Source organism: Homo sapiens, chromosome 2, assembly GCF_000001405.40.
Source record: "Homo sapiens chromosome 2, GRCh38.p14 Primary Assembly".
In the NCBI taxonomy this organism is placed as follows: Eukaryota; Metazoa; Chordata; class Mammalia; order Primates; family Hominidae; genus Homo; species Homo sapiens.
This window is the reverse complement of record NC_000002.12, coordinates 176,825,919-176,849,464: the sequence shown is the minus strand read 5'-3', so window position 1 is coordinate 176,849,464 and position 23,546 is coordinate 176,825,919. Positions and strand designations below refer to the sequence as shown.

The 23,546-nt window shown below is 40.2% G+C and overlaps 1 long non-coding RNA gene across 13 annotated transcripts; it reads left to right on the top strand.

Annotated features, from left to right (window-relative positions):
* The first annotated feature begins 61 nt into the window (after window positions 1–61).
* On the top strand, window positions 62–18,623 carry LOC105373757 (uncharacterized). Of its 13 annotated transcripts, none has more exons than NR_187997.1 (5): window positions 62–190; window positions 3,088–3,255; window positions 5,870–5,969; window positions 17,967–18,069; window positions 18,326–18,623. It is a non-coding gene; the product is annotated as an uncharacterized LOC105373757 (long non-coding RNA). The 13 variants fall into 13 exon arrangements; NR_187996.1 differs by having other exon boundaries at window positions 62–214; NR_187998.1 differs by lacking the exon at window positions 5,870–5,969.
* Window positions 18,624–23,546: the final 4,923 nt, after the last annotated feature.

The following is a 23,546-nucleotide window of genomic DNA, read 5'->3' as shown; positions in this document are numbered from 1 at the left end:
GACCTGATGGAATAATGCCTGCTGGTAGACGCTAGTGAGGTTGCTTAGGAAACCACCCCACAATGGCAGGAGACACCATGAGATGTTTTCTACTGTAGAAACTTTCTCATTAGAAATAGCCCATTTATACAGGGGACTGGCTAATGTTTTTCTATGAGTATCATTAGCCAGTGTCTCAAAGTGGTGAAGAGTAAGTATATAGCATCTTTCAAAAGTAAGTCAGAATTTCCGAGAAGTGGCTTTTGTATATAATGCTTCAAAGAAATGGATTTGGCCCAGTGGGGGGTGGGGGGAGTGCCTGTGCAGGCGAGATCTGAAGGGGCAGCACATCCGTAGTTAATGTGCATGTGGCCCTGCAGCTGCTTCGACTTACCGGGCCTGGTCTCGCTGTAATTGCGATAAGACATAAAACAGAGGTCCTGACTATCTGGGGTCATTAAAGGAGCCCATGCCCCCCTCTTCCTACCCCAGAGGGATAGTTCGGGTGCTCTGGTTGAGTTGCAGCTGAATTAACTGCCTCTTGCCTGTCAACATGCCCCTCCCCCCACCCAACTTTCAACCAAACAGGCTTCTGGGGCATTCTATCCTGTGGACACAACCTGTGGAAGGCTAGGCAGGGAGTCAGGAAAGGCTGGAGTCACCATGGTAGGGCTGGGAAGCTCTGGTTCCCAAAGTGGGTTTGTACCCATCCTCTCATAGTACCCTTTAGGATTTTATTAGGAACATTTGTCTTTATAAGAAAACTGAGGCACGATAATCTGTCTGGCTATGGTGATAGAAGTCTGGGTACTCTTCCTCCATATCAAGGTCACTTATTGGTATCTCCTCCAGTCCCAGAAGGAGGAGTTGAGGCCGACATTGGACAAACAAAGCCTTAATTTAAAAGCAGGGTGAGAAATATTGTCTGTAGTCCTCTAGAGTTGAGTTTTTTTGTTTTTAATTTAGTTTAACTTTCTTCATTTTTATATTATTGATAAAACTGGCGGAGCCACTGGGTGTTGGCAAATGTTTGAAATGTCAGAATATGGGAAATGGGTTCAAGAAAAATGTGGTAGCTCATATTTCTGTCTAGCTATCTTTCATAGATGAATATGCTATAATATGATTGGCTATTTATTGCAGGTGATAAAATGGAGAAGAGAAAAAAGGAAAGGGAGTATCTTCTGATTGTATTTATTCCATGGGTTTTTCAACTCTAAGAAACCTGAGGCTAACAGTTTACAAAGAATTGAAAAAACCGTACAATGAGTCCAAAGCTTATTTTAACCCTTCTATAGATTTTCATGCCTTCTTGAAGCCAATTTGGAGCTTAGAAATATTTATTATTGGTATTTCTAATGAAGAATGTTCTTTATACACACCTGTCACCAACAGTAACCTCATGATTTAGAGGCATTAGCTTCTTTTCCTACAAGCTTAGTGTGGGGTCAAGGTTACCTCTGGTCCAGAATATCTGGCATATGACATATTTGCAGGTAAGCTGTTTAGTATTAAAATGGCTTTGACAGCATATTTACTGTTAGGTTAAAGGACTATAGACCAGTTGTTAATATGAGAAATATAGCCAGGAGATGACTCTAACACAACGCTAACAGGAAGGTAAGGCCTGTAGAAACACTACATAAATAGTGCTCCTCTTGTGTTATGTTAATTTTTAGAATAACCTCGCAGCAACATTTCATCATGGCATTCGCATCTATACACCCTAGTGAAGCCTTAGGGTGCTTCTTCAGGCACAGAAATATGTTCTTCTTGCCTGTGGCTGCCAAAGTAAATAGAAATCAATGGAAGGCAGCAAAAGTGCTGAAGTCATTCCAATAAGGGAAGTGCTTGTTAATTTAAATTTTGCACTTGACATTGGTAAGGACTAATAGCAGAAAATAATGTCCGAGGCTGACTTCTAAAGTCATTTTGGTCATCACTTTTCTTGTATTTCTTCGTGACTGCAAAAATAGTGTTATAAATAAGAAGTTATCTAATTGTGATAGATCATTAAAATAAGGGAGAAAAACAGAAGTTTTGTATGTCTGAGTGTGAGTAAGTACTTGGAAAACTTTTGCACGGAAAGGATCTTATCACCTTGTGCTTGGATTGAGTGCCCCATGTGAGTGCATGCATGCAATGCATGTATGCATGTGTGTGTATTTCAGAAACTTCAAAAAGCACCTCCTGCTGCTTTCAAAACCAGGCAAATATGTTTGAGGCCTGTTGGTAATTTAAAATAGGAAGATATACACAGAACTGAAGGTGGCTACACAGGAAATTAGAAAAGGCTTGACTCCACAGAGCAAAATGAATGTGCCATTGTATCACTAAATAATTGGAGGGGTGGGTCTGTGTTGCTGATGCTAAGCAGGTGTCCATAAATCAGAATAAATGTTTGTAATTAATTGTTGTTAGTGTTAATAAGAAAGGGGTTTAAATATGCTAACTTCCTTTTCTCTCAGTTAAATCTTTTAGAGTGTGGGGCTTATCATTACAGTCCCAAGTGGACTGAGAAGCTACAGTGTTCTTGAGGTTTCATTGAATATCATAACCTGTAATCAGTTATTCTGTTGTTTTCCTCAATGAAACTCCTGGTTTTAGACAAAAGTTAGACCCTCTGTCTGAGCTATAGAGTCCCACATGCTATTGGAACACCCACTTTAAAGCAAAAGTTTTTTAAACAAAGGAAATGCCCAGTTTGTAAATTCTGGGGTGAAAATTTTAGATGGCGTTGTTAGGTCCCATCAACTTGTTCTCCTGTGTGTCTGTCTGGCCTTGCACCTGACTCAAGGAGGTCAACTTTGTTGGGTGGGCCCATAACATCCACTCTATGTCTTCTCCCTTTCAAAGACAGCTGTTAAAGAGTAACAGAATTCTCCAGATTCATTTCTCAGATTTGTGGGAAAGCCTGAGTCAGGCACTTTGCATCCCCCATGCCTTTCAAACCTGATGGTGAGTATTGTTGTTATTTAATCCATGTACATTTCTGTAAAGGAACAATCCCAGAGAGAAAGACAGGCTATGAACTTGTCAGATGCTGGGAAAAAATACTGCAGGAAAGAAATAGCCTAGTGTCTGAATTTTGCTCTGTGTTCATTCTAGGACTGCAACCTGGAACAAGGAGAGACAAAGGGAAGGAGGAGTCTGGAGCCATATTGAAGATGAAATTGAGATATGGACTAGGTGGTGGATCGTTTTTATAAGAGGACATAAAAGAGGATGCTAAAGCTAATTGCCACAATCAGAACTCAAAGACCTAGCAAATGCAAGGTGGTATTTATTCTAAACTCAGCAAAGTAGTAGAAAAATAGTTTTGAGAACAGTTTTAAGGAGACTAGGGTAACAGTGAGAAAATAGTTCATGGCTAGTCTGGACTTAGGACTTTAGGGTCGGCCTGGTGAATTGAAGGGAAGCAGCTGATACACTCTGGTTGCCTTGTACCCTGGCTTTTGGTGCTTTCCCATGTGCTGTAGTCATCAGTAATCTGGAGGAAATGCTATAGAGGCAAAGACACCATTAGATGGGTGCTCAACTAGCAAACAGGATGTGACCACAGAGTAGTTACCCCAAGACCAGGTCAGCATGACCCAAAAGGCAGAAGAGGACAAGGTTTATGAGTGTTGGGCTGAGCTCACGCCTGCTTGAACATCTCAAGAACAATGTTAATGATGGAAGAGAGAGATAGGAGAGGAAACTCATTAAACTTGCCAAATATGAGATGTAGCTGGGTTGGCTCTATGTAAGCATGGCAGAAAAGCATTTAGAAGTCATAATACATTTAAAATAAGAGCTACCAGCATAGCAGTGACATGAAGAAGGCATGTGTTTTGTTAAAAAGTTTTAAATACTCCTATAAAAGATAGTAAGGTACAAGTTGTTTGCTTGATCAGCAATGCTAATTGCCTTTGAAGTGCATGCCTGGGGATTCCATGGAGAGAGGACCCTGTTTCTCCACCCCAACCCAAATTCACTGAGTTTATGTCAGAATGTTCAGAAGCCCCTTTACAAATTCCTCTGATTGCCTTGTTAGACACTGGCCACCTCCCTGAACCTGGGCCAAGATGAGGGTCTACACCTTGGCTTAGTTCTACTATGAAAGACTTTCCTGCAGTAAAAGTTACCTGTCTGAAACATTCAGAAGAGTGAAAATGCCACATCTCCAATTTCCAGCAATATATTTGTCTGCCATGATTTGGCCTGGAAGCTTAAGCAGGAAGACCACTTGGAGCCAGACTTCAGAGTGATCTGTCTCTAAGGAATAACTTTCATATTGCAGCGTTCGGTTTTGCAATTCTTCCTAAGCTACTCTAAATTCGCAGCATAAATCTGCAGAAAGACTTCACCCTCCACATCAAACCCTTATAAGGATCCATTTCTGCTCTCATTTTAGAATATCTTTTCTAATAGCTAAAGGCAGACAGAGGCAAACCAAGAAATCCAGACTTTGCATCAACGGGTTAAATCATATGTCAAAGGTGCAACCATAACGTATTACAAGCTTCTCATCACATAATACATCACTCAAGAAAAAATATTTGGGCAGCTTTTCTAATTCATCTTCCTGGTGTTAAAGGAGCACATCTCCAGTGTTCGTGTCTTCTGTTTCAATTAAAGCAATCATGCCTACTCTTTTAGGAAACTACTAAGGTTTATTACCTCTTTGTTTCACTGCTAATATTCAGCTTCTCCTTGTGGTCTCCCCTTCCAAATACATATTTTTTTCTTTCTATCCGGTTTTGCTTCTCACCACAATATACACTTGTGGCTATTGTTTGATAAAATGGCCACTATAAAGATGTAACTTGCTTAACAAATATCAGCAAGTGTTTATGGTTTCCTGTGTACTTGATGCACTGAGTGGGTGGAAGTGGGTAAGAGAAAGATGAGGTGGTTCATGTTCCCAGTAGGAAGAGAGAATGTCAATACTCAAAATAGCTAGAAAACAATTCACCATCAGTATTGAGACAGGCATTTCATTACTGTATGGGTAATAATTAAGAAATTTAAAATAAAAACATTGGCCCTCGTAATTAAGAAAGTCTTCCTGGAGAGGAGTGTAACACATTTCTTATAAGTGAAGAAAGGGTAAAGCATTTCAGGCATAGAGAATGGCCTGAACATACAGGGAAGAAGGAATAGGGATGTGAGTAAAGGAGTAGATGGAGCTCGTCCGATCAAAGGAGAGAGACTCTTCTGGTGAGAGAGTCAGGAGTGGGAGCTACTGATGGTGACTTTGACTGCAGGATGAAGAGGCACAGATTTGAGGCAGGGATTTCTGGAGGTTTTCTAACAGAAAAAAATGCAATGAAAGGAAGGGTATGTGGATTTACCCAGCAATGATGTACAGGACTCCCTGGGAGAGGAGACAGCAAGAGAATAAAATCATAGGTATTTGGACCAGATGCCCATTAATGTTCCTTCCAATCTATCCTGAGCAACATAATTACATGATTTTATGCTAAGGGAGTTGAGCGAGATAAGACAGAGCTAGAGGTAGAGACAGTGACACAGAGACACTCAATTGGAGGTATCTGTAAAGATGTCTTAGAAGAAATGACATTTAAATGTGTTTCATGGAGATGGTTGAAAGAGACATTGTAGGCATCAAGAATAGCATAAACAAAGGAATAGAAGGATAGGAAAGTGGAGGGCCATATGGGGCAAGCTAGAAGTTCAGATGTTTTTGGAGTGGCATGTCAAAGGAATCCAGAAGTAGGCTAGAATGGGGAGTGCAATGGATTAAATATTCGTGTCCCCTCCAAATTCACGTGTTGAAATCTATTTCCCAGTGTGATAGTATTTGGAGGGTAGGACCCTCATGAATGGGATTAGCCCTTATAAGAAGAGGCCACAGAGATAGCTTGCTCTTTTTCTATCATGTCAGGATACAATAAGAAGTCAGCAGTCTGCAACCCAGAAGAGGACCCTCACTGGAACCCAGGAATGTTGGCACTCTGAACTTAGATTTTCCAGCCTCTAGAATGGTGAGAAATAAATTTCTATTGTTCAAGCCACCTAGTTGTTATAGCAGCCCAAGCCAATTAAGACAGGAAGGATACTGGGTGTTAGCACTCAGAGGTGTAAGGAGTCTGAACTCATCTCAACCAGCTTCCACCACCATAATGGAGGCTCTCTTTCTAATATTTATTGTTAAGTATTGTCTAGCCTGTTCTTGAACACTGAGGTTCATAGGAAGCTCACTAGCTCCCAAGAAAATCCATGCCATTGAAGAATAATTTTAATACTTAGAAAACTCTTCATACTGCTCTGAAATTTGTCTGCCAATACTCTACTCATTCATTCCCTTTCCATTCCATTCCATACTCTACTCATTCATTCCCTTTCCATTCCATTTATAAGCAGGAGAGGTATCAGCTTATAAAAACCTGAATGCCAGATACTGGGTGGAGGAGTTTGAGCTTAAATCTGAGAGCAGTAGATCTAGCAATTCTGAGTAAACTTCTCAGCTTAACTGAGGCATTAGAAGTCCCTGAAGTTTTTTTTTTTTATGTAGGAAAACAACAGGATTATTTCCATCTTAAGGAAGACCAACATGGCAGCTGTGTAGAAAAGAAAGCCAAGTTAGAAAGAATGTTTTGGAGACAAGACATTGTGGAAGGATAGGTGGAAAAATCTCTAACGTGAATGCTTAGCTGCACTATTGAGCAAATCCTAGTTATTTTTTGGGACTCAGTTTTCCCATTTCAAAAAATGAGACAGGTTCCCTCAAAGAATCTTTCCAATTCTACTATCCTGTGGTTCTGAGTTTTCAGAGCTAAAAAGGGCATTTTCAAAGATGGGAGAGTTTGCATTATTGTAGGTAAAAGCAGAGTGGGCCTGAAATGGGAATGGAAAAGTGTTGAATCCGAAAAATATAGAGAAGACACAGAAGGCCAAGATGAGAGCTTGGCTGTTTAGGCCAAAAGGGAAGCAAGAATTAATCATAACTCAATTCCTGGGTTATGGGGCAAGGATGAGTCTTGGTGCTTTTGACCTTAAAGAGGACTTTTTAAAGCAAAACTAGCTGGGAAAGAGGAAGATTTAACACATGGAATTTGAAAACATTGTAGGGCAATAAAGAAGACGGAAATGTGAATGAAAGGCTGGGGTAAGAGGTGTAGGTAGTTGAGTCATGGTTGCAGAGATTTTGTTGGAAGTCTTGGGACAGATGGTGTTTCTAAGAGAGGGAGAGGAATAAAAACCACAGAGGATTTTCAAAGTGTGAGAATGGGAGATGCTATTAGAAGGGAGAGAGAAGGAGCAGTCAGCTGGGTGGTGAGAGAGAGGCTTCACAGAAGGAAAGGAAGGAAACAAGAAAAGAAAGGAGGTATCCAATTTGCAGCAGGGGAAGAGGAGGGAGGTTCAAGAGGATAAGAACAAAAAAGCCATTTCTGGAAATGGCTAAAAGAGAATACTTTCAGTGAAGTAATAGGACTGTGAGTTAGTCTGTTTTGTGCTGCTGTAAAGGAATACCTGAGACTGGGTAATTTACAAAGAAAAGAGGTTTATTCGGCTCATAGTTCTGCAGGCTGCACAAGAAGCATGGTACCAGACTCTTCTTCTGGTAAGGGCCTCAGGCTGCTTTCACTCATGGCAAAAGGCAAAGTGGAGCCAAAGGGAAGTCATATGTTCTTGCAGATCACACTGCAAGAGAGGAGGAGGAGGAGGAAGGAGGAGGAAGGTGGAGAAGGAAGGAGGAGGAAGGTGGAGAAGGAGGGAGAAGGAGGAGGAGGGAGAAAGAGAAGGAAGGGAGGTGCCTCAGGCTCTTTTTAACAATCACTTCTCATGGGAGCTAATACAGCAAGAACTCGTTATCTTGAGAACTCATGACCTAAACACCTCCCATTAGGTCCCACCTCCACAACTGGGGATCGAATTTCAACATGAGATTTGGAGGGAACAAATATCTAAACTATATCAGGCTGGAAATCAATTAGTAAAGAATTTTTAAAGGCATTCATCCATCCAACAGAAATTCATTAGCCTCTTAGGGGCCTGGTACTGCTCTAGATACAGAGAATACAGCAGTAAAGAAGACACTTGAAGGGATAAACAAGAAAAATGCCAGGTGGAGATTTACAACAGAGGGACATGACAGACTGGTGGGCACTGTCAGCAAAGGTACCAGCCAGTGCAGGCCCTAAGATGGAAATAGGTTGATAATATACAAAGAATAGAAGGAAGAGCAGTGTATTAGAGTGTAGAGGTAGTTCCTGAGAACATTATGAGATTATGTCAAAAAGATTTCAGGGTAAAGAATTTGAACTGCATCTCAAGTGTGTTTGTAGTTTTGTTGGGAAGTGATAGTTTTAAGCAAGGGTTTGACATGATCTGATTTACTCGAAAGGGTGTCTTGTCTGTTTCCTTGAAAATGACTACAGAGAAATGTAGGTGGAGGCAGGGGCCCATTGGAAAGCATTTCAATAGTCCAGATAGGAGCTGGCAGTGGTCTGCACTAGGGTGATTGTGGTGGAAATGAAGGGGAGAGGAAAGACTGGAAATGTGTTTTGGAAGAAGTAGAATTGATAGGATTTGCTGATGGCTTGGATGGAGGAAAGAGGAATATATTATATTTAAATCTTTAAGCCACATACATTGATTTGATCAAAATTAACAGGACAAATACAAATCATCATTTTCAGTTCAGTTTCATTTAATCATTATCAGTGGAGCTCCTACTATGTGTAAGATATAATTTCAGATTCATTCATTTGATAAACATTTATGGAACACTGACTATACCCCAGGTACTGTGCTGGGTACTAAAATCTGGAGCAAGATGGACACAGTCCTTCCCTCAGAGGTCTTGAGGTTGAGTGAGACAGAGAAATCATCAAACAGTGAGTGCATGCATGCACATCATGAGAAGGGCCAAGAGGGAAAAAGACAAAATGGCTTTTAGAATAAAAACAGACAGATCTCATCTAGCTTGTGTTGGCTGGAAGGCTCCCCTGAGAAGGTGACATTTGGGCTGTCTGAAGGATGATGGCAGTGAGAACATCATGTTTAAAAGTCCTGTGGTAGGAAGAAACATTGTCATTCAAGGAACAGAAAGAAGGCCAGTGTGCCAGAAGCCTAGAGAACAAGCAAGAGGGGGATGATGTGATGGAGTGGGCAGTCAGTGGCCAGATCACACAGGGCCACGCTGACCTTTCTATGGGATTCTGGTTTTTATTCTAAGGGCAAGGAGAAGAAGGTGATGTGATTAGATTTTTTAAATTTTCTTTGGCTGCAGAGTTAAGGACAGATTTGGTCTTCACATTTAGGGTCTCTAGGGGAACAAGTGGATTGGGAAAATCTGAGTCAGATGGGCTGCCAAGGGGAGGAAGTGAAGACCAAGGAAAACTGGAGATCTGTTAGAAGGCAATGAGAGAGAATTTCATGCTCAACATGCACCAACACAGATGTCATGGTTGCCTTTCCATGTCAACACATCTAGAAAGACTACACGTTTTTTCTGCAGCTACGTAACATTCAACTGTATTGACAGGTTATACTTTAATATTTACCATCTCTCTATGGGTGGTCATTTAAATTGTTCCAATTTTTTTACTATGGCAAACAAAACTTTTTTTGGAACATACCTCAACATTTATCTTAGCTCTTGAGGGACACATAGAGGTAAAAATGCCAGGTCAGAGTGCATGAGCATTTTAAGTTTTAATAGATGATGACAAATTGCCCTGAAAAATGTGATGCCAATTTTGAGCAATATTTTAAGAAATAATGTTGAGCTAATGTGTCAGATCTAGTAAGTCCAGAATCACGGCAGCAAGGAAGGATCCAGTACAGTGATCCAGGGGAGAGGTGTTGAGTTCCTGACCTCCCATGATGGACTCTTTTGGAGTTTGCTTCCAAGTGGGAAATCCTCAGATGGGCAGTGATTGTCCTTCGGCCAACAAATCCTCCTGGACAGTAAATTCCTGAACTTCTGCTGCACAGGCCATAAGGAGAGGAGTAGAAGTCTTCTGAGAAAGTGGTTGTTAGAAGCCAGAATCCCAGGTGTGTTCTCCTTGTTTAATTCTCTTAGTCCTACTCCTCAAGAATCCTAGCAGGATTTGGTAAAGCCAACCCCTCCTTCCTTCCTGAGATATTCTCCTGAGTATCATAATCAGATATGGTCTGATCACCATAATGTGCTCTACTCTTTTTCTTTTTTTCTCCCCAGGCAATTGTGTGAGCTTCTTATCCCTTGTCACCTTGTTACCTCAAACGTCGATGCTCCTCAGGCTTTTGGTTCTGGTCCTTCTTGGCCATCTCCAAACTCTCTCCTTTGGCAATCACATTCCTTCCCATGTTCAGTGTCTTTTACATGCTAACAAGTCCCACATTTTTATCTCCAGCCCAAACTTCTGAATTTTATAATTATATTCCTGCAAATTGAACTTGTCTAAATACCACACTTAATTTTCACTTCCCATTTGTGCCCTTTCTCTCTCAATATCTCCTGTATTGGTAAAAGCCAATTCCATCCATTCAGTTGTTCACACGAAGAAACTAGGAGTTATCTGATTTCACCCCTTTCCTCATCCTCTCAATACAGTCTGCCAACAAGCCCAGCCAAATCCACTTTCAAAATATATTTGAATCTATCCATTTTTCTCCCTCTTCACTTCTCCACCCCAGTCCAAGCCACCATCTCTTCTCATTTAAATATCCACCTTTCCATCCATTCTGCACACAGCAGATAGATTTTTATAAAATGCAAATAAGATCATGTTACTCTCTTGCTTAAAACTGTCCAAAGCTTACTGTTGCTTTTGGGATAAAAATGCAAATGAATTACCTTGGCCTATAAGGCCCTGCATGACCCATATAGGGCCCATCTCCAGCACTATCCCTGACCTCCTGCACCCCCAGTCAGCTCACCAGGGCCCTGGCTTGCTGCTTCCCTTTCAGCTTCCTGAATATGTTGAGCTTCTGCCATTCAGGGCCTTTTCACTTACCATTTGCTTTGCCAGGAACTTTCTTCTCCTTGATCTTTGCCTCCCTCATGTCTTATTTATTTATTTTTAGTTTTTAGTTTTTGAGATGGAGTCTCACTCTGTCACCCAGGCTGGAGTGCAGTGGCGCGATCTTGGATCACTGCAACTTCCACCTCCTGGGGTTCAAGCAATTCTCCTGCTTCAGCCTCCAGGGTAGCTGGGACTACAGGCACATGCCACCATGCCCGGCTTTTTTATTTTTAGTAGAGACGGGGTTTCACCAGTTGGCCAAGCTGGCCTCAAACTCCTGACCTCAGGTGATCCACCCGCCTTGGCCTCCCAAAGTGCTGGGATTATAGGCATGAGGCACCATGCCTGGCCTCCCATATGTCTTAATAGAAGCGTTGGTCCTCAGATGAGCCTTCCCTGACCACCCATAACATAGGTTCCCCATATTTGGCTTCTGTCTCAGTGCTTTGCCTGCTTCCTTCATACAAGTTATTGCAGCTTGTCATTTATTTTTTACTTGTTTTCTTTTCAGCTCTAGAAGGGAAACTCCATGAATGATGGCACCATGAATGTCTTGTTCAGTATGGATTCCTCAGCATTAATAGGGATCAGTAAATATTTGTTGAATGAATAAATAAGAGTCCTATTAATTGACCTTATTGTGTCCAACAAAAGTTACATTTCCCCACTGTAGTGAATTGTTGGCAGCATCACTCTTTGCTGTATACCATTTAGAAAATATAACATTAGTTGATTTTCTACTTTTACCCCTCCTTTTATGTCTCCAAAGAGACAGCATCTCCTTTACCCATCTTGGCTATGAAATCTACTATCTTTTGGACTTTGTCAAATTAGAGACTGAAAAACTCGAGCAGGTCTTTTTCTCTGCACAATGTATCAAAACACATTTCATATGCTATGCAGCACCCCTAACTAATTTTCACCAAGTGTATTTTCTCTGGGTCTAGACCTCTTCATACTTTACCATCAAAATGTATTTAGTCAGCCTTATGAAGATGGGCAAAGATCTTTGAAGCCTTGGAGTAAAGAATGTTGTGTTTGCTTTCGTGGAGTTGTCCTCATACTGAGATATGGTAGAAGTAGTTTCCTTGATCAGCCTCGGGAAAATGGGACAGGTCTGTCTCTGGAGCTCTGTGTGTTTTTTTCCTTTGCAGCAAAAATACTCATCTCTCATTTGAGAGCTGATCAGTACATTGGCTGCAGCCATTCCTCCCAGGTTTTCCAGATTGATCAAGCAGTACATGTTTGATGAATTAACCATGACCAGTCAGCTATTGGCTCTTTGGGGCATTTAAATCTACAAAATTTAGTAGTTAGCAGGACACAAATAACAAGAGTCCTGAGATTTGTGGTTTGTCCATCTCCCACTTCTGGGGCCTCTTATTCTTAATCTGTAAAGCAAGGATTTGAATGTTCACCCTCACCTAACTCCTGGATTCATGAGTTTTCAGCCTCCACTTCTCCCTGCCCACGCTGATATGGAGAAGGCTGAAGAAAGAAGAAGGGAAGGAAAAGAGCAAATCCTTTGTTGATCTGAGAAGTCATCATAAAAGTCCTGTACTTGTAGAAGAACTGCATACAACTTTTCCAAATAAAGTAAATCTAGCTTTTATGTTTTATTTATTAGGACAACACAGATTCCCATCTCAGTTTCAACAGTCTGCCAAATGTCATTTTTTTCCCTAAAATCAAAGTTCATCATTGCTTGAACATTGGAGGGCTCTAAAGGTCTTGATTTTATTGTACTTAAAAAATTTTAAGCAAATCTGTGCTAACAACATGTTGACATATTAAAAAGCTATAGTTATTAAAACAGTGTGGTATTGGAGTAGGATCAGATATGTAGATTAATCAAACAGCAGAGAGAGCTTGTAAACAGAGCCAGGTATATGTGAAAAATTTAGCTTGTGTCAGAGACAACATTGCAAACCAATGAAGAAAGGGTAGAGAATGGCTGTATACCAGAGAAAAAATAAAATGAGATTTCTATCTTATATCATATACAAACATAGACTCCAGATAGAGTAAAGGTCCAAAATGTAAATAATGTAATTTTATACCTGTGAGAAAAAAATGCATAAGTATCCTTGGGGTAGGGAAAGCTTTCTTTAACAAGATACAAAATACACATACCGTGGAGGAAAAGGTACTGAAATCTGACAGTAGCAAAATTTCACCCCTTTTATGGCAAACAAAACCAAACAAATCCTCGACCCCATTACAAACAAGGTTAAGACAATTGAGTAAGACATATGATGCTTTTTTGCTTTAATAAATAAATGGTGAGAAAACAAAAGGGATGAGTGTTGTTAGGGACAAAAAGAGACTTAAGAGGCACAGTGACCAAATAAAACACAGGGACATCCTTTGGATTCTAATTCAGAGAAACCCAGTGTGAAAGAATGTTTGTGGGTCAGCTGGGGAAATTTGAATACTGACTGGTTATTAAGAAATTGTAAGAAATAGTTAACGTTCAAGGCATAATAATGATATTGTGATAATTTTTAAAGATTTGTGTTTTTTAGAGGAACTACTGAAGTATTCATGATTAAAATTTTACAGTGCCTGGCATTTGCTTTAATCCAGCAGGTTTGTGGGGAAGGGAGTGGGGGTGGGTGTACAGATGAAAGGAGATTTGCCATATATTCTTAATTAGTAAAGCTGAGGGAGGGTATACGTGAGTTCACTATATTATTTTAGTTTATTTTACTCATGTTTGACATTTTCCATAATGATTTCTGTAAAATACAAGTCGTGGATTTAGAAACATGCCTGACCTATTATAAACACAAAATAAATGTTATCTGTTATTATTATATTAACCTTTTTAAAAGACAAGTGACACATACATTGCTGATGGGAGTATAAATTGGTACAGACTCTACAGAGGACAATGTGGCAAAATCTATTTTTTTAAAAAGGCACTTAGTCTTTAGTTCTCTTTATGAATTTATCCTTCAGATATTTGTACATGTATGAAATAATATGAATTGTCACTGAATCACAATTGTTTTTATTTAAAAATTTTTATTTTTAATTTTTGGGGTACATGGTAGGTTTATATGTTTATGGGGTAGATGAGATGTTTTAATACATGCATACAATGCATTATAATCACGTCATGGAGAATGGGGTGTCTGTCCCCTCAAGCATTCATCCTTTGTGTTACAAACAATCCAATTATACTGTTTTAGTTATTTTTAAATGTACAATTAAATTGTTATTGACTATCATCACCCTGTTGTGCTATCAAATAGCAGGACTTTTTCATGCTTCCTATTTTTTTTTGTACCCACTAACTGTCCCTACCTCCCCTCCCATCCCCCTACTACCCTTCCCAGCCTCTGGTAAGAAGCAAATTTTTAATAACGCAAAATTGGAAGTGTCAATCAGTAGTAATCTAGTTGAATAAATTCTGGTCCATAAATAGAAAAAGAAGACTTTGTAGCCATTAAAATAAAAAGAAAGAAAAAGAAGTAGCTCCATATAAGCTGAATGGAGCTTACAGAATGATGTCTAAAATATTTTTAAGTGAAAAAAGCAATATGCAGAATGAATCTTTTAAATTTATTTTAAAAACTGTAGAGGAACATATAGACTATTTTTTGTATATGTGTAGAACTCTTTGGAAGGGTGTACCACAGCACTGGTTTTTGTCTAAGAAGGGAAACCGAATGGTGGAAGAGGAGTAGATGTGAAAGGGGAACTTTTCACTGTGCACTTTTGTAACTCTTTAAGTTCGTATCATATGCATATATTTCCAATTCAAAAATAAGAAAAGAAGACATTTTCAGCGTATATAATATGCAAAAGTTACTACCCAGGATACAGGTAGAACCTTTACAAACTGGTAATAAAAATACAAATAATCTAACAGAAAAATAAGCAAAGGATGTGATGAAAGAAAATTGTTACGCCAATAAACCTGCAAAAGGTAGTTACACTTATTAATAGGCATGGAAATGAGAAATAAAACCAATACTTAGGCATCGTTGTTTAACCATCAAATTGGAAATGAATTTAGTGTCCAAGAACATCAAGCTTTGGCCAGCATGTGGGGGAAATAGTTCCATCATCTTATGTTGGCACGTAACAGTCACTAGGGAGTCTTTTGGCAGCACTTAAGCAAACTAGAAATATATCCTAGCCCCATGGATTCCACTACTGTGTATATTTTCTACATAAATACTTAGATGTTTATACAAAGAGACAAGTATAAGAATGTTTATTGCACCATTGTAGAAAATAGTAAGAAACTGGAAAGAGCCTAAACATTCATCAATAGTGGATTGGAAATGTGATATATACACAAGAAAGGGAAAGAACTAGATCTACATAGCTCAATATGGATAGATCACCAAACACCCTATGTTAAGAAGAAATAAAAAAAGCAAGTTGTAGTAACTATCAAGAATGATGCCACTTATGTAAATAATGAAACACTGCACATACAGAAAGCAATGCTATTTATTGTGGCATACCTGATTGTATACAATGTCTATATTTTAATGGATTGGAAGGACCCACATCTGCTCATGAAAGTGGCTTCTCTTGGGTATAGGAGAGTAGGCTGGTTAGAGGGGATTAGGTTTGGAATCTGAAACATATTATTTCTTAAAAAAAAAAACTGGAGGAAAATATGACCAGATGTTAACAGTTGTTAACTCTGGGAAGTATGAATGTGAGAGTTTAACTTTTCTGTATCTTTTAAATTTTTCAAGAAAAGGAGGAGGGAGTGGGAGAAAATTTTTTTCAGAGGAAAAGAATAAGATAGATTTCTCTTTGAACCATGGAGGACAAAAGCAGTATGCACCCCCCTTATGACAGGAAGAAATCCTGAGGTCAGGCTTTGCTTCCTCTGGAGGAAACTTTTGCTGATGACAGCCTGTTTCCCTCCTGTCTCCTTTCCCCGGCCTTCCTCATGGAAAGCAAAAGCACTCTTAGGAAGGCAGCATTTTCTTTTTTTCTTTTCTGGATTTTACAACTTTATTTTTTTAATTTTTATTTTTTAATTTTTATTTTAGGTTTGGGGGTACATGTGCAGGTTTGTTTTATAGGGAAACTAGTGTCATAGGCGTTTGTTGTACAGATTATTTCATCACCCAGATATTAAGCCCAGTACCCAATAGTTATTTTTTCTGCTCCTCTCCCTCCTCCCACTCTCCACCCTCAAGTAGACCCCAGTGTCTACTGTTTCCTTCTTTGTGTTCATAAGTTCTCATCATTTAGCTCTCACTTATAAGTGAGAAGATGTAGTATTTGGTTTTCTGTTCCTGCATTAGTTTGCTAAGGATGATAGCCTCTAGGTCCATCCATGTTCCCACAAAAGACATGATCTTGTTCTTTTTTATGGCTGCGCAGTATTCCATGGTATGTATGTACCACATTTTCTTTATCCAATCTGTCATTTATGGGCATTTAAGTTGATTCCCTGTCTTTGCCGGGTAGCCATTTTCACTACTAGGGAGATTAGGACCCTATCTGCCCATATGGGATTGCATTTGAGAACAAAGCATTTCCATGACCATGATTTGTATGTTTTAAATTCTATAGTCTCTGTATATATGTTATTACTCCTGGAAAACTTTCTGTGTGATGGGGAATAAATAATAAAAGTGCATTAAGATGTAGAACTTAAATTCCAAAGATTAACTGCATTTTAAAAGAGAAGTTCTGAGGGAGTGAGCAGTCCTCCCACGTTTTTCCAAAAGAAAACACTGATCAAGATTTTTCAGAAAAAATATGTTCAGAAATTCTTCAGAAAAGAAAATTTTTGGACAATGTGGTAACTTGATCAGTAAACATGTTTGGTAGTAAAAGGCCTACTTCCATGGGCCCCTTCTACTGTATCTGTGAAAAAGGCTGCTTTTGAGCAGTAAGTAAATGTCACCCCCAACTCGGGCAATGCGTGGTAGGTGGGCCATGGGAACAACTTGGGTGTTAGGGTAGAATGGCCACTGTCTGGACCTGTCACTAACACTGCACTTGAACACAGGTGTGGACAACAAGAGCACAGAGCAGGCCAGTGGGCACCAAATAGTACCTCTTTTACATTTTGCTACAATATCAGCAGCTTATGGCACTGGCTTAAGGCTGCTGCCAAACTCCGCTGTCATTCCCTCGCTGACAGTGATAGAATGGTACATCCGTTCAGTATTCAGAAATGAGACAGGCTTGTTTTGACACCACTGTTTCTGCAAAAGGGAAAGGAACCAGATTGGAGAGTGTAGTCATCAATTGGCAGAATCAGTTAAGAATAACAACAGCACAGTGTGCGTCATTTGGGAGAGGTAAGTGTGGCATGAGGTGCTGGAATTCATTGGAAAATGCTAGCCCAGCTCTTCCTCCCTTAGTTTGGACAACGTCTGGTCTCATTTCCATGGCTTCTGCACACCCAGTTGAAGGGAAGCTCGTCCCTGCCTCCCAATCACTTAACCTCTTATGATGCCTGATAGTAAAATATAGTATGTTAGCAACTATAGGGATTCCTACATGGAGAGATAAGTCTTTGATTCTTATTTAAGCTTTGATTTATTGTCTTCAGTTGTTTTGGGTAGAGGGATGGCTGATTTTTAACAAGAAGATAAACTTAAAGATGGAAATTCTTGTAAGCCATAAATATCACTAACTTGCCTGTTCCAGGGAAGTTCAAATAAAGACACTGGGACTTAGCAGCAGCTGAAATGTTTTCCTTTTTTCCCCATTGGCCCAAAAAAAGATATGCCTTGCCATTGGTGGTTTGGCGCCAGGGCCTGATCTGTGCCTGGATACACAGGCCATTCAGAGTTCCTATTGCATAGAAAGGAGACAGAGGATGACAAATTGGTCTACACCAGTTGACCTCCAAAGTGAAGGGATAATTTTACCCAGCAACCTCTGGAGTTTTCTTTATCTGTTTTATTTAGTGAAAACACTGTTCTTCTCCAGTACTCCCTATTTCTCCTAGCAAGCTCCAAGGATTAATTCTGGGTCACTAGCTAAATTCACCACCTCTGCTCTGCTCCCAAATTGCTTCTTTTTCCTTAGCCTTATGCAAATCCTGGAAGATATCAATTCTGAGGGCTGGGGTGTATCTTGATCACCTTTGGAATCTACCACTGCATGGAGCACAGCACTTACCACCTAGTAGGTAAGCAACAAATGCTTGCTTGTCAATTGATTTATTCAGTAGACTCAGTGCTATGTGTACATTAAACACCTGGGGAGCTTTAAACAATAAACGAGCAAACCAACAAATGCTGCATCAGCCTAGACCAACACAATCCTGATCTCTGGATGTGGGATCCCCGCACTGGTAAGTTTGTAAAGCACCACAGGTGATACTAGTGCATGGGGAAGATTGAGAACTACTGGATTCATTAACCTGTTGCTTTACTTGGCTACAGTTCTGTTTGTTTCCAAGTTTGGAAGAAACATAATTGAATCATTTTGAGGAATTCCAATCCCTGACAAGATGCCAGTGCTATTTTACAGCAAGAGTAGACGAGGAAGGCTATACTACGTGGTCCTGGGCAAGTTATTTAAATTCTCTGTGCCTCAGTTTTCTGAACCGTAAGATGGGAAGAATAATAGTAACTACCTCTGGAGGCTGTTGTAAAAGTTAAATGATCTGATCTATGTAAAGCACTTAGAACAGTACCTGGTATATAAGTGTGTGATAAATAAAATCCAATATGAAGAAGAGGATGATCTATTTGTTGTCATTATTGTTGTTCTCTGCTTCAGTTAATGACTCCAGCTTCCTCCCAGACTAAGCTCCCAGGAGACTTTTGACCCCAGCCTCTCCTTTGTCCCTTCCATTTTATTGCTGGTCAAGTCCTGCTCCTCTGACCCTGCACTATCTGGAATCTGCCCCTTCCTTTTCATGCCCCTGTCCCTAATTGTAATCCTCACTCTCATTATCTCTCTTCTGGGTTATGGCTGCCGCACTGGTCTCCTTGCCAACCGTCTGTTTTGCCTGTCAACCACCCCTAGATGGCTCCCAAATTGCCCTAAAGTCAAGCTCTAAGCTTGCAGCTGCCAAGCTCAAAGCTCAACTTATATCCTTATTGCTGTGAAAATTCAAACCCAAATTGTGTGATTTGGACAGTTTAGTTACTTTCTCTAAGCCTTGGTTTCTTCATCTTCTTTTTTTGTTTCCTTTTTTGAGATGGAGTCTCGCTCTGACACCCAGGCTGGAGTGCAGTGGCGCTATCTCGGCTCACTGCAACCTCCACCTCCCAGGTTCAAGCGATTCTCTTTCCTCAGTCTCCTGAGTAGCTGAGATCACAGGTGCACATCAACATGCCCGGCTAAATTGTGTATTTTTCGTAGAGACAGGGTTTCTCCATGTTGGCCAAGCTGGTTTCAAACTCCTGGCCTCAAGTGATCCGCCTGCCTCAGCCTCCCAAAGTGCTGGGATTACAGGCATGAGCCACAGCGCCCTGCCAGTTTCTTGATCTTTAAATGGGGATCATCTAATAACACTTTCTCTTTAATAGGGTTATGGGAATAGAATAAAGGAATTCTTGTAAATAAAGCATCTAGAAATCTTCATGGCACACCATAGGGGATCAATACAAGTTGTTGTTGTTATTATTTGAAATTTGACTGCCAGCAACTCCTCTCCAGCCATCCTGGACACTGGCCACATGGAAGTCCTTGCTGTTTCCAGACCCCCTGTGCCTTTCTGGATTTGGGTCTCTGCTCACATTGTCTTTACTCTTGGGATGCCTGCCACTCCTCTCCAGGTGTCTGAATCTTAACAGTCTTAAAGGGCCAAACCTCAAAAGCCAATTTCTTCTAGAAGACTTCCCTGGAAGTCAATTACTCCTTTGACTTCCCACAAATTCACTTCTTTTAAGGCAGGGGCTCTCCAACTTTAGCATTCATCAGATTCACCTGGAGGGCTTGTTAAACCAATGACTCCTTAGCGGATCCTGGAGATCCTAATTCAGTAAGTCCAGGGCAGGACCCCAAAATTTGCATTACTAATGAGTTCCCAGGTGATACTGATCTGCTGGTCCATACTTAAGGAGCTCCGTTTTAGGGCTACTCACTGAACACCTTCCAACTTCTATGGCTGCTTGAATACAAATCTCTTCTCTGAGAAGACTGTAAGTTCTTCCCTAGAAGGGCCAAAATCTACTTTCCCTTATGTCTGGTGGAAGGAGGTGGGCCTTGGGCTGGGCCTTGAAGGCTGGGTGGGATTTGAATCCACTAACAGCAGGCAAGAGCCTGCACATGAGGAGCCCAGGAATGGGAACAGGAACAGAGAGCTGCACGGTTGTGCGAGGGTGACTGGTTAGGATATTAAGGTGCAATGGGAAATGGGGCTAGACAGCTGTGTGCCACATATCCAATATGATATGGGGGTTTTGAGAAGGGGGGTGTGGAACCTTGAAAAGCAGGCAGAGGAGTGCACATTTGATCCCCTAACCTGCAAAGCACAAGGGCTGAACTGCAAGGTCTCATCATGATCGTTCCTTCCATAAGCTGCTGTGGAGTTTGGGCTCTCTTTGCATTTTCAGCAAGGCACACTTCCTAATGTGCAGGACATGTTTCTGTTCTACCTCCAAAAGTCTGTCATTCTTTGAATTACTCTTGCCTATGAAAACGTGGACAGAGGTGAGGCTCAGGCCCCACCAACTGCTCCTGTGCGCCCGAGCCAAACCAGAGCCTTGAGGTAGTTGTGATTGGTGCTTCCTCCCCACAAATTTTGGGCTCTTCCTTCCCTGAAAATCACTTTTCCTGGTTTGGAAGTTGCTTGACCAAGAAGCTAGAAATATCATTGCTTCTAGAAAATGGATTCTCCCCCCATTTTCAGAACATGCTTGGTTTAAGGGGATAATCACAAGATGGAAAGAAGGAAGTGGCCACCTGGAAGCAATAGATCTGGGTTCAATATGAAGCCGGTGGTTTTATTCTGTGGGTTTTCGGCTATGCCTGCCTCCCAGGTGCAGATGAGGTTAAATAATTAATGTATGTGAATGCACTTTGTAAGCTCTAAAGTGCTGCAGGAATATAATTAATTATGTTTATAATTACAGGTAATATAATTATAATTATAATTACTTTGTGGGTGGAAGCAGAATATATATATCTCATGCCTGTTCTATAGTAGGATACCCTTGGTGGATATCCTTGGTTAGATCATCAGTTTGTGTATTTGAGCTTGACTCACTTTCTCTGACTTTATTTTCAACATTGAGACATATAAGACTTTGGCCCAAGGACTTCTGTTTTGTTTTTTTGTTTTTTGTTTTTTTTTTTGTTTTGTTTTGTTTTGGAAAATAGGATAAAAGTGCATAGAGCAAGGCTGGGAAATTCAACACTCCAATAGTAATATTATCTGCCACTTATCTATCATGTAGGTAAAGTTAAGGCAATTTATTAAACTTGCCTATATACAGCAATAATACTTGCAGAGATCCTATAAACACAAAAATATGATATACACATACAGTTTCTATAAGTGATTTATATCTACATGTTACTCAGAGTTCTTTCTAGAAATTCACTAGACCCTACTACATTCTAAAATGATCATGTAATTGCTAAATCAGAAATTTGTTCTATATTTCAGGCAATGCTCATTAATACTAAGCTAAAAATTTAATATGTTATACCATTTTGCTTGTTTAGCAAAACTAATAAGCTTAATAGAAGTGCTGGGTAGTTGTTTATTTCCTTCAACATACTTAGTCTTAAAAAGTGATTGTATTTGGGCCCATGTTCTGGAGCAAGAGTTGAGGTGTATTTGTATCTGAGGGAAACATTTCTGCCTGGAGTCTCCCTCCTTGAGACTGCCAGATTCTGCCCGAGAAGCTAAACGTTGCATTTCTTCAGAGTCTCTGACCTTCTGCCATTGTTCTTATGCACTGTTAATTGTTGTTAATTTCTAACACATCATTAATTATTTGCCATTAAAGATGTGGGAGACGGAAATGCCCTTCACTCATGGGTGGTCACAGGAATTAACCATTAATAATTACAAAATGTGTTACTTTAAATGTGAAAAGTGAATTTGAGCCATTTGCATGAAAGTTGCTGTGTTTCTGTGGCTGAGCTGTGACACACTGGCAGCGTGGGTGGGGATACCATGAGTGATCCCGTCATGGCTGGGGAAGAAGCCATCTCCTCTTGCTTCCTTAATGACTGTCACATTTGGCCTCTGGAGCATGATGTACTTTTCAGAGAAATTTTCTCTTTACAATTTTCTCCTCCTTTGCACAAGAAGCCTGAAGTGGAACAGTTTTCTCTGATGTCACAGCCCCAAATCAGTCACACAATTAGTACTTACCGTGGAGTTCCTGACTCCCACTCCCATTCGGCCCATCAGACCATGCCGAGAGATAAGCGCTGGCAGGTGGAGATGTCCACTCCCACCTCAGGCTTGCAAAGTGATGAAGCCAAAGCCGTTTCGCTGACATTGGGATCTCAGTCTTGAAAAAATAAGTGCCTGGATTGCCATTTAGTATTGAGATTTTAATGTAGTGCCTATCTTTAAAACAAAGGCAGAAAATTCTTCCTACAAGTTTATCAGAGTGCTGAGAATTAAACATTATATTGGCAAAGAAGCATCAGATACGGTCTCTAGGTTTCACCAGTCAGAAGGAACTGTTAGAGTATAGACAAGAGATTTGGGGAAAGTGTATGAAATATTTTGTGAGTGTAGATTTCAACCGTGAAATCGAGACAGCTTAGATTCCATAGCTAAAAGTTAGATTCGTTACAAGGAGACTAGTTTGAACTTAAGGAGTCGATGGTCGTTCTTTCTAGCTGAACCCCTTGTTTTGCTAGTAAGAAAATGGAGATCCGGAGATGATCAAAAGACTTCTTAAGCTGTGAATGTGGGAAATAAGAGAACTGTGTCACTTAAGTGGCTTTTATGGTTTCATATTATGATTCTGTTCTTCATCTGAACTGTGACCTCAAGAACAAGGGCAACCTTTTTTTTCTTCCCCTTTCCCCTCCTCTTTTTGTTCTTCTGTGCTAGACTAATAGAGAGATCAGAGGGGATGATGTTCTGCTTCCTGGAATAGACTGAACTATACCAGGTAGCTTGGGGCATCTAATGACATCATGGATGAAAGGCCAGGTTGGAAGTCGAAACAACAGCCTGCTTTCAAGAAATCACTTAGCCTTCAGGTCCCCCATTCCTTCTCATCTGTAAAATGAGGCACTTAAAGTTTAACTCTTGAGGCTTTAACTCTCAAGACAGTTGGATTCTAAGATCTAAATTCTTCTGTACTGTCTTCTATTATTTTAACCATTTTTTTTTTGCTACACAATAGTCTACAGTCAACATATTTCACATTTTATTTATTCCCTCTTCTATTAATGGATATTTAGGTTGTTGGGAAGCTTTCTTCCACTAAAAGTAATGCTGGAATAAACATTTTTGTACAAAGCTTTTTATGTATATGTGTAAAAATTTTTCCAATGTTTCAATTTTACCAAATGATGCCAAATCAACCTCCAGAGCCAATTTACTAAACTTTGCTTCCTTTATCTCTATGCCCATAAACTACTATGGGGGGTTTGCCACCTTCCCACATCTAAAACTGGTGGACAGGACCCAGGTTCTTATTTTTGGGGACCTAAGCCCACCAACATCTCTGTTCC